This window comes from Homo sapiens, chromosome 7, assembly GCF_000001405.40.
Source record: "Homo sapiens chromosome 7, GRCh38.p14 Primary Assembly".
Classification (NCBI taxonomy): domain Eukaryota; kingdom Metazoa; phylum Chordata; class Mammalia; order Primates; family Hominidae; genus Homo; species Homo sapiens.
The window spans coordinates 92,854,271-92,866,658 of record NC_000007.14 but is presented as its reverse complement, the minus strand read 5'-3'; the positions used below and the strand labels follow the sequence as shown (position 1 = coordinate 92,866,658).

At 37.5% G+C, this 12,388-nt stretch overlaps 1 long non-coding RNA gene across 3 annotated transcripts in view; it reads right to left on the bottom strand.

The window, feature by feature from the left end:
* CDK6-AS1 (CDK6 antisense RNA 1) overlaps positions 1-12,388 on the bottom strand; it is an 80,705-nt gene that overhangs the window by 50,529 nt on the left and 17,788 nt on the right. For 2 of the 3 annotated variants that reach the window (NR_110086.1, NR_110087.1), the window contains exon 2: positions 11,706-11,750. The exons of the other annotated variant lie outside the window; for it this stretch is intronic. This is a non-coding gene — a long non-coding RNA (CDK6 antisense RNA 1). The remainder of the gene's footprint in view (positions 1-11,705; positions 11,751-12,388) is intronic. 3 annotated transcript variants of the gene reach the window in all.

The following is a 12,388-nucleotide window of genomic DNA, read 5'->3' as shown; positions in this document are numbered from 1 at the left end:
TGAGAGCAAAGGATTGAACGATCATAGTAACTAGATAAAACCAATGCTTACGTATGTTTATCTGCTTTGCCTCATTGAACATGTCCACATCTATATATGTAATTCAAATCAGGTCCTGCTATAGGCGTACATTCTCAGTTCAGTAGATCATTTATGACACTTAACATCATCACTTAAGATTTTCTATTAATAACATATTTGACATATTAGGTTACTTTATCAAATGCACTTATTTTAATAGAACTTGACTTGATAATAACAATAAAGCATAATCCAGAGAGTTGGTCAACAAAGTGAACCTTTATTTTTCATGCTTACTATAACTTAAACCTTATCCTTCCCAAAATTCCTTTTGAATTTTATTCTCTAGGAGAGGTTTCTTTCCAGAAAAAAAAAATTCGCGATCTGTTAAATTTTATTTATTTTATTTGTTTGGGTTGTTTGCCTAATCTTATAAGCTATTTCTGCCTTGCCAATTCCCCAAACCAAATGTAATAAAATATTTATCTCCTTTGCTTCTAAGCTCCTATAATAGTTAAATTAAATTAAATAACTGTATTGATCGATTTAATTACAAATTTGTTGGGGACTTCATACTTGACCAAATATGGTTCAACTATCTGTAGTCAGCTCCCAGTTATTCTCCATGCCTAAATTCTTTGGCTGAACTGATGATGAAACCTCCTGCTTCAGAAAAAAATATGCTTCATTTTGCCTCCAACCAACTCTAGACCTCCATAATACCAGTTATTCTCTCTCTTCTGTTAAAATTCTCCCTCTTCACTCTCTCCCCTCAAGCTATAAACAGGCTTAAGTTTCTCTGATTCTAAAAGTTTTTTAAATGAATACATAAAATTAAAATAAAAAGTGAACCTTATTTTCTCTGTGCACTCTCTCAACCTACATCCTATTCTCACGCTTTTTAACTGGCATGCATCTTAAAAGCATAGTCTATGGAGATTATCTCTACTGTCTACTTCAGGGAATTCTTTACTTCTGATTTCTTCTCCACCATTCTCCAGAAATTATTTTGGTACTTTGCCTAGTTTATCTTCCTATGGTATTTGACTCGACTGAACATTCCCCAGTGTTGGGGATGAGGCACTTCCATTTTTTTCTGGCTATGTGTTTTCATGTGGAACAAGGATCACTAAAGTAGCACTTTATTTGCCCTCCACAGGGAAAGAATAAATTTTCTGATTAGTTTGAGAGAAGGAGCAGAGCTTTGCTTCTCAGCCTCTTCCTTACAGAGAAGATGCATTCTTCCTTGCCTCTGCTTGCTATAAGGCAACTTGTGGCAAATATATCGGAGACCACCCTTATAAAACTGTCTTGTTTTGTTTGCAAACCAGCTTAGCTAACAAACGTAAAGGTATATGCTTTAATCTTTACTAATATATAACACAGATTAGTTTAGGAGTAGGAAGGTTATTTAGAGTAATGCATTTTTATCTTTATTTTTTTACTTTTAAAAACATTATCAGTTTGGGAGGCCGAGGTGGGTGGACTGCTTGAGGTCAGGAGTACAAGACCACCCTGGCCAACATGGTGAAACCCCGTCTCCGCTAAAAATACAAAAATTAGCTGGGCATGGTGAGGCACACCTGTAGTCCCAGCTACTCAGGAGGCTGAGGCAGGAGAATTGCTTGAACCTCAGAGTTGGAGGTTGCAGTAAGCCGAGATCACGCCACTACACTCCAGCCTGGGCAACAGAGCAAGACTCCAACTAGAAAAAAAAAATTATTAGTTTTAATTGACAAATCACAGTTGTATACATTTATAAAGTACAGTGTAATGTTTTGATACATGTATACAAAGTGGAATGATTAAGTCAAGCTAATTAAGATATTAATCACCTCACTTAACCATTTTTCGTGGCAAGACATTTGAAATTTACTCTCCCATTTGTTTGAAAATATACAATATATTATTATTGTCTATAGTCACCCTGCTCTACAATAGACCTCAACATTTATTTTTCTTGTCTAATTGAAACTTGTATCCTTTGATTAACAACTCCTCATTCTTCTCCTCTTCCCTCGTGATATGGTTTGGCTGTGTCTCCACCCAAATCTCATCTTGAATTGTAACTCCCACAATTCCCACACATCGTGGGAGGAAGCCAGTGGGAGGTGATTGAATTATGGGGGCAGGTCTTTCCTGTGCTGTTCTCATGATAGTGAATGAGTCTCACAGGTTTTAAAAAGGGGAGTTTCCCTGCACAAGCTCTCTTCTCTTGTCTGTCACCACGTGAGACATGCCTTTCACCTTCTACCATGGTTGTGAGGCCTCCCCAGCCACGTAAAACTGTAAATCTGATAAACCTCTTTCTTTTGGCAATTTCCCAGTCTCTGGTATGTCTTTATCAGCAGTGTGAAAATGGACTAATTCAGTAAATTGGTACCAGTAGAGGGCGTGTTGCTGAAAAGATACCCAAAAATGGGGCGGGCATGGTGGCTCATGCCTGTAATCCCAGCACTTTGAGAGGCCGAGGTGGGTGGATCACCTGAGGTCAGGAGTTCAAGACCAGCCTGGCCAACATGGTGAAACCCTGTCTCTACTAAAAATACAAAATATTAGCTGGGCATGGTGGCAGGTGCCTGTAATCCCAGCTACTTCAGGAGGCTGAGGCAGGAGAATCACTTGAACCTGGGACAGAGAGGTTACAGTGAGCTGAGGTCATGCCATTGCACTCCAGCCTAGTGACAAGAGCAAAACTCTGTCTCAAAAAAAAAAAAAAAAAAAAAAAGATAACCAAAAATGTGGAAGCAACGTTGGAAATGGGTAACAGGCAGAGGTTGGAAGAGTTTGGACGGCTCAGAAGAAGATAGTAAAATGTGGGAAAATTTGGAACCTCCTAGAGACTTGTTTAATGGCTTTGACAAAAATGCTGATAGTGATATGGACAATGAAATCCAGGCTGAGGTGGTCTCAGATGGAGATGAGGAAGGGAACTGGAGCAAAGGTGACTCGTTATGTTTTAGCAAAGAGACTGGCAGCATTTTGCCCCTGCCCTAGAGATTTGTGGAACTTTGAACTTGAGAGAGATGATTTAGGGTATCTGGTGGAAGAAATTTCTAAGCAGCATAGCATTCAAAAGGTGACTTGGGTGCTGTTAAAGGCATTCAGTTTTAAAAGGAAACAGAGCATAAAAGTTTGGGAAAATTGCAGCCTGACAATGTGATAGAAAAGAAAATAACTTTTTCTGAGGTGAAATTCAAGCTGGCTGCAAAAGTTTGCACAAGTAACAAGGAGCCAAATGTTAATCCCCAAGACAATGGGAAAATGTCTTCAGGACATGTCAGAGGTCTTCAAGGCAGCCCCTCCCATCACAGGCCCAGATGCCTAGGAGGAAAATGTGGTTTTGTGGGCCAGGCCCAGGGTCCCCGTACTATGTGCAGCCTAGGGACTCAGTGTCCTGCATCCTAGCCAGTCTAGCCATGGCTGAAAGGGGCCAACATAGAGCTCAGGCCATGGCTTAAGAGGGTGCAAGCCCAAAACCTTGGCAGCTTCCACGTGGTGTTGAGCCTGTGAGTACACAGAAGTCAAGAATTGGGGTTTGGGAACCTCCAGTAGATTGCAGAAGATGTATGGCAATGCCTCAATGCCCAGGCAGAAGTTTGCTGCAGGGGTGGGGCTCTCATGGAGAACCTCTGCTAGGGCATTGTGGAAGGGAAAAGTGGGGTCAGAGCCCCCACACAGAGTCCCTACTGGGGCACCACCTAGTGGAGCTGTGAGAAGAGGGCCACTGTCCTCCAGACCCTAGAATGATAGATCCACCAATAGCTTGCACCATGTGCCTGGAAAAGCCACAGACACTCAACATCGGCCCATGAAAGCAGCCAGGAGGGAGGCTGCACCCTGCAGAGCCACAAGAGCAGAGCTGCCCAAGACTGTGGGAACCCACCTCTTGCATCGGCATGACCCAATACTTGACATGGAGTCAAAGGAGATCATTTTGGAGCTTTAAGATCTGACTGCCCTGCTGGATTTCGAACTTGCATGGAGCCTGTAGCCCCCTGGTTTTGGCCAATTTCTTCCATTTGGAACAACTGTATTTATGTAATGTCAGGACCCCCACTGTATCTAGGAAGTGACTAACTTGCTTTTGATTTTACAGGTTCAGAGGGGAAGGGACTTGCCTTGTCTCAGATGACATGTTGGACTTGGACTTTTGAGTTAATGCTGAAATGAGTTAAGACTTTGGAGGACTGTTGGGAAGGCATGATTGGTTTTGAAATGTGAGGACATGAGATTTGGAGGGGCCAGGGACAGAAAGATATGGTTTGGTTGTGTCCCTACTGAAATCTCATCTTGAATTGTAACTCCCACAATTCCCACATGCCATGGGAGGAAACTGGTGGGAAGTGATTGAATTACGGGGGTGAGTTTCCTGCACTGCTCTTGTGATAGTGAATGATTTTCATGAGATCTGATGGTTTCAAAAAAAGGAGTTTCCCTGCACGAGCTCTCTTCTCTTGTCTGCTGCCATGTGAGACATGCCTTTTACCTTCTACCATGATTGTAAAGCCTCCCCAGCCACATGGGACTGTAAGTCCAATAAACCTCTTTCTTTTGTAAATATTCCAGTCTCGGGTATGTCTTTATCAGCAGGGTGAAAATGAACTAATATACCTTGTAACCACCATTCCACTCTCTACTTCCACTAGTTGGACTCTTTTAGATTCCGCATACAAGTGATAGTATGCAGTATTTGTCCTGGTAACAGTGATCAGTTGATCTTCATTTGCCCCTCTCTCAGCTGGTGCCAAAGTCCATGGGGTAGAGAGGTTTTCTTAATTGATCCCTCCTCCCAAAACTCTAAAATCCACCTCTTCAAACTCTTCCTATGTCTGTCTTCTCCTGTGTCACAGGACTGTAGGTACTATATTGTAGTACAAATTGCATTGCATTTTATGAATTTTTTTAACTATAAAAGCAATTCTTCTTACAGAAAACTTTTAAAATAAAATAAGTATAAATATAAATATAAAAATTTGTAAACTTAGAGCCAATCTAAAGATATACACCTTTAACATTTTGAAGGCTTTCTTAGTAGTTTTTTTTCCTAAGAGCATAATGAAAATTACATATACATGCACACATTTTTTCAACATTAGAATCCAACTTTACATAGTTTTAAAAAATCAAACTATTTATTGTTGCTTTTTACCATTTGGTAGCAATTTACACACAGGCTTCAATCATCAGAATACCCTGGAGTCAGTAGAAAAACCTTTTATAGTTTTATACAATAGAAACTTCCCCATAGCCAAAAATTAGGCTGTTAAAAAAAAAAAGCAAAATATACTTTTCTGAAAACACTTAACTTCGAACAAAGCACTGAAACACCAAAGCAGAATGAAAATATCATTTCAGCTCCACAAAAAGTAGTCATGATAAAAGGTGTAAAAGTCACCTAACTTCAAAGGCCCTGCTCCCTTTTTAAACATGAGTGCAAATACTAACTTGGAAAGATCTCCAAAATATATATAATGTAAAAACAGATAATTTCACAATCATATGTATATGTAGAAATATCCTATCTAGACAATAAAAGAAAAAATCACTTATATTGGTAAATACATGTACTTATATGAGAAAAGATCAGGAGAGATATACATCAATTCTCAACAGAGGTTGCACTTATTAATGTCAAGAAATAGGTAAAGTGATACATTCACTTATTACCTTGTACTCCTAGAGAAAACCACCATTAATATGGCTCTATTCTTCCCAACATTTTCTAAGTATATATTACTCAAATATCACCAAGCTTCACAGTGCTATGGCTTTCATTAGCTGTGAAAAAATGTAAGAAAATGTAAGAACATGGAAAAAAGTTACCCTTGTGCTACCCTTTGTACTGCTAGAGTCACTCATCTTTGCAAAGTTCTGCTCAAACCTCAGCAGCCCATAACATAATCACGGCCTCAAGTTTGAGCCACAGCCATGTTTCAATCAGACCACTATCTCCACCCCAATTTCATCTCTTTGGCTATGTTTAGACCACTACTCATCCTTTCTGCAAAAGTAGACAAAAACATGTCTCTTCTTCCTGGGTTGGACTATCTTAAGGAGTCCCTGTAACAGAGTGGCTTCAGCCCTAATATGTTATAGCTTTTTAGCTTTTTAGAAACACATCCTTTCTTCCACCAGTGTTCATTCCCACAGAAAGGATAATCAGGTGAATTCTTTCAAAAAACAAAAGCCATTAAAGACTCAGAATTACTTATGGAAAAATGTATTGTGCAGATATTCATGCACAGGTGAGAAATGACTTTTGTGCAAAGTTATTTATTGTAGCATTGTTTGTAAGAGCCAAAGACTGGAAACAACTAAATGTCTATCAATAGGATCTAGTTCAATAAACAATGATGTACCTATACATAGGACATTGGGAAGCTGTAAAAAAAATGAGGAATCTTTCTTTATACTGATAGGAAAAGAAGATATATATATTTAGATATATAATAAATCTATAATATAATAATTATTAGATCTATAATAAATCTATAATCTATACAGATATAGATATATAAACATATATTTAAAGCAAGGTGCAGAACAGTATGTGCAATATACTACCTTTGTAAACAAATGAAAAATAAGAATCAATACTTGTTTTTGCTTGTATATGTTTGAATAAACTATGAAAATTTGCATAAGATATTAAGTACAGTATTTACCAATGGAAGGAGCTGTGTCAGAACTGATCAGAGGAGGACAAGGATGGTAGGGAAACTTTTGTCGTATATCTTTCTGTTTTTTAAACCATATTTATGTTTTACTTATTCAACCCCTCAGATCTTCAGATTTTCTTTTTTCAAAGTCAAGTTCTTTTAATGGGCCCATGCAAGTGAAATCCTTGCAAGTTAGCCTCCTGACTCAAATACTTGGTATGGTATTTTTTCCCCCAGAAAGTTCCCCTGGGCCTTTTTATATTCAGTCAAATGAGTATGAGATGGACAGAGCACTCTTTTATATCTGATCTCTCCTTGTCTGGGAAATACTCTATTTTACAAGCCCACACAGACATATGCATACATGATGACATATATCATGTTTATATAAATGAATATTCTTCAGGTTACAACTCAAACTGTTATAATGATCAGTTATATCTCATGGACACCAAGTGCAAAAAAACACTTGAACCTCTGGAACAAACCAGAAGCAGAGGTTATTAAGCTATCAGAACTGTCTCTACTATGTACCTATTTTATTCTTCTCTCTTTGTATAGATGGCTTCCTGTGCTTCTCTAATCCATATTGTGGTTTAAAAAAAAAGTTGCCAATAGTTCCTGGTGTGTGTGTGTGTGTGTGTGTTCTTGTGTGTTCTTGATACAGCCACACACACAGTGCCTGGTGTTTTTCTCCTTCTTGTACAAAGGATGGCTTCTATTCTTGCTCTTGCTATTTTTTCTTTTTTTTTTTTTTTGGACAGAGTCTCGCTCTGTCACCAGGCTGGAGTGCAGTGGCGCGATCTCAGCTCACTGCAACCTCCACCTCCTGGTTTCAAGCAATTCCCCTGCCTCAGCCTCCCAAGTAGCTGGGACTACAGGCGCACGCCACCACGCCCAGTTAATTTTTTTGTATTTTAGTAGAGACAGGGTTTCACCATGTTGGCCAGGATGGTCTTGATCTCCTGACCTCGTGATCCGCCCGCCTCAGCCTCCCAAACTCTTGCTATTTTCTAAATTTCCTGGACAATGCCATCAATTAGACCAATCAGTTGTACTTTACTAGAAAGTTATATAACAGCCCCAAGTCAATTAAGTGGAAAGAGGTGGGTGAAGGGGCAATTCTGAGAAAACTTATTTGGCCAATTTCAGGTAGGTAAATGTCCATTATAATACTACACAAGGTATTTAACCTGGACTTTTCCTAATTTTGTTGTGATAAAAGCCTTTGTAAATACATTTCTGCACATTTAGCAGATTATTTCCTTTGGTCAAACTTGTTTAAGGATTTTGACTCATGAGTAAAAAATGATTTTCCAGAATGATGGCAAGACACCACCAGCAGCAGGATGTAAGCTTGCCTATGTCACTGCTCTTTACCATGTCATACTTGACATCATAACTTTTCATTTTTTTCTAATTTGATTGCATATTTAGTTCTAACTTTAGTTATTTTGTAATTTGGGAGCTTATTCCTTGCTGGCTCCCTGATGTCTTCGAAGTCCAATATAATTATATTATTACTAATAAGATCCCTAAATTCTAAGTCTCTGTAATTTACAAAACGCTTCTCTGATCAAGCACTTTTGGGCTTTATGAAGCGTCCTTTATATTCTTTGAAGTACAATATATACTTAGTCCCTACTCTATGACTTTCGGCTCAAGCATGTGTTTTAATCATCTCTGAATTCTTTGAAACACTTTATTCAAAGATTTTCATGTAATACATGCTCAATAAATACTTGTTGAGTATAATGTGGCTGTGTCTTTGTTTTGTGCTGCTACCACAGAATACCTGAAACTGGGTAATTTATAAAGAGCAGAAATTTATTTCTCACAGTTCTGGAGGCTGGACAGTTCAAGATCAAGGTGCCAGCATGTTTGGTATGAGGGCCCAGTCTCTGCTTCCAAGCTGGTGCCTTGAATGCAGCATCCTTCAGGAGTGAGGAATGCTGTTCTTCACATGGCATAAGAGCTCAAGAACAAAGAAGCAAAAGGGGCCAAACCCTCTCTTTTATAAAGGCATCAATCCCACTGATGAGGGCGAAGTTCTTTTGGCCAAATAACCTCTTAAATGGTCTCATCATTGCCTGTGACAATAACAGTTAAATTTCAACATGAGTTTTAGAGGAGACAAACATTCAAAGCATAGCAGATTTTAAGGAATAGAAAAATTCTGAAACCTGTTTCTAAGGTTCGTTATCCTCCAAGGCCATTTCTGTAATAGCAAAGAAAGGTAAGGTGGTTTGCCAAAATCTGTCTAGTCTCTCTAATATAAACATTCCCACCAATGTAGACAGTGCCATGTCTTCACATTATTGCTAAGTTGCAACCACTCTTTCTTTGACATATCTCTAGTATGTATCTTTTTTTTTTTTTAACACTACTCTTATTGCCATTATCCCGGTCCAGGTTCTCCTGATAACACTTGTCTTCACATAAGAAGGCAGAAAAAATTATATACCTATACTTGTTACACATAAATTATATATAATATATAAAATCATAAATTTTGTAGTTATTTATATTAATATATGTTGTATGATTATATTTATATGTTATATACTTTTATATTTTAATATATGTGGAGGAATTACATATGGAGATATTAACCAAGTTTTTTGCTGTTGTCTTGGTGATCACTACCTCCAGAGCAAATAGCATTCACAGCCTCTGGGGAACATTTATTTGTCCCAGAGAAAGCAGGGCACAAGTTATCATGAGGAAAAACAAAGAAGGCAATAGGCTTTTAAAAAATTTACAACAGAGGACTTAGTCTTGAAAGCCAATGAGCTTTTGATTTCAGATAGCCCAGTTTTTTGAAAAAGAAGTGTTTTGAGCACTAAAAGTTTGGCACTGAATATAAAAAGCCAAAACCCTGAAGAACTTGGTCCATAAAGTTTATACCATAGAGATAAGAGTAGTATCTAACAATAAAAGGGTGAGTTTTTCTGCCCCTACAAGGAGAGGTCTTGGTTGTTATACCACGGGCAGATAAGAGAGCTAGGAAGGAGCCTTACTCCACTTCTCCCCAGGGTTCAAACCAGAATGAAGTTCCAGGGGCTAAGTGAGGTGGAGTTTAGGAGTAGCCTCGAGCACCCGCAGTGTGATACCAGAGAACAACTGACAGCCACTGTACCCCAAAGAGAGGTGTATATGTGACTGAAAGGAGGCCATCAGATCCCAGAATCCTGATGGTTGGAAAAAGGAGGAGGTAGTTTATAGTCTTCATAACCAGGAATTCTGTAAGGTTGTGGTCTCCTAACATAGGCCAAAGGGATAGAGGCAGACAACCAAAAACCATATGGAATTTCTCTCTCAGCAGATGCCAGTGGAAGATCAAGGACAAATGAAGAGCAAATATCCCCTTCCTGGTTATTGCGTAAATTTAGCACAAACCTCCAGAAACTCAGATGTAACTTAAGGAAAAGTGCGCAGAAATCAATCCTGATTGAGGATTTTAAAATAAAATTGTAAAAACTGAGCTCCCTTAAAATCAACAAGATTAATTTTTTCACCATTATGTAGAATAAAGACTTAAAATAGAGGGTAAAATGAGAGGAAAGGGATACTAATTTCTATATTTATGTATAATACATAATACACTTAAGCATATATTATTACATAGTATAATTATTATATAATTACATATTATTACATAATATATTATATACATAATGCATATTATGTATAAATATAAAATATTTAAGTATATACTTACTATATTATATACATAATGCATATTATGTTTCTAGTTATATATAAAATATTTAAGTATATACTTACTATATTATATATATAATATGCATGTTGGGTATATACTGCCCCACATACATAATATGCATTATGTATATAATATAGTAAGTATATACTTAAATATTTTATATATTTCAATATTTGAAAATTTCCATCTGTATGAAAAAATTAAGACATACATGTTCTCAATACCAAAAATCATAATTTGAGACCAAGAGACTAAATATAGTGTGATATATCTATAACACACACACACACATACGCACACACACATACTGTTGGTAGTGATTCACTTTATCCTGGAAAGATAATATTAAATAGGTGGTACAGCTTACACTTGATAGTATCTTAGAATCAAGAAGCCATGTTAGTATTTGTTTTATCAAACTCACTGATGTGTAGACATCCTTGGAGAGGCAGAATGGCATATGATGCAGGGGTGAGACTTGAGAATCCCAACTTCACCAGTTTTGAGCTATCTAGGGCAAGTTTTGTAACCTTTCTGGAACGAATAATAAAATTCCAAACTTCTAGGGCTGATGAAAAGAGTAAATAAATTAATGCCCATAAAGAACTTAGTTATGCACCTACCTCATAGTAAGCAGAAAATAAACATTGTTATTATTATCATTTGTGAACATTTTAAAGCATAATGTTTGCTTTTCTGTGTCACGCTTCTGAATGTTATTTATAAATGTGCACGATCTAACTATTATACAACAAAGAAACTCTTGGATTTTAAAGTTAGTCTTTAATTTACACACAATCATCTCTATGGGGTAGAAAAAATTCTAAAACAAACTCTAAACTCATTCTTAATTTTAAAATGGTTAAATACACTTAATTCAAACTGCCATGTGTAATTGAGACCAAGAGTCTGTGAAAAAGCCAAGCCAGAGAAAATAGGAGATTCCAAATGGTGCTTGATAAACATTCATTCAGTACCACAAATACTTATACAGGGGAAAAGATGAATTATTTAATTGGGCAGCAGTTATTGTTAAAGGAAAATAAAGTGGAAAAAACTGAAATATTTAGGTACCTATCAAGAAGTGATGAAAGCCAGCTGTGGAAATATTCTGTAAGAGAGTTTCTGTATTACAAAGGAAATAGCTGTACAATGTCAAGAAGGGAACTGGCGAGATGGAAAGCAAGGAAACCCACAACAATAGTCATAGTCACAAAAGCAGTGTCCACATATAAACTCGGCATCTTCTTACTGTGCTGTGGTTTGAAGATTTTGTTTCATCACTGTTATCACCTCACCTCTGTGAGATCAGCAGGTGGAAGCAGAAACCAGCCAGGGGTGGACTGCAAAGAGAATAGAACTAATGATTAGAATAAGTCATGTAAATATCTTTCTTAAGAATTTGATGATGGAGAAATGTAAGGCATTAACCTAGTAAGAAAAGAAGCTGGGTTAGATAAAGAATGGTTGTTTGGATCACTTGTTTTAACTTCTGTAATGTCTTGAGCACACATACGGCCAGAAAAAAAAGCACGAGAGCAGGGGATGGCGGAGGAAGCCAGAATGTGTGGGCACAGATTGAAGGCTGAGACTTGGAAAGGGGTAGAAATGTTGCCTCTGGGATAATAGGAAGTAGATAAAAATAGGTTTAAGCCTAGAAGTCTGATGATGGCAAGGGAGCTAAACTCAGGGAATTTGTACCTAACAATCTTTTCTTAGAGAAGCAACTGGCTAGAAAATCTCTGAAAGTGAAGTGAGAGGAAATACACTGAAAGAAAATGTTGTTAATAAATACCAGTGTTTTGTTTGCTCCTTTGAAAACACTGCTTCACTTTCTGTAATGAGATAATTAAAGTCTTATCTCAAGAAACATGGTTAAATATGACTGCGGAAAACTCAGGCTATAAAAACTCAGGCTTCTAGGCAGAGTCTACCTATAGAAGGACTGATACCCTGCTTACATAGCTTTGTCTGGGGCTCA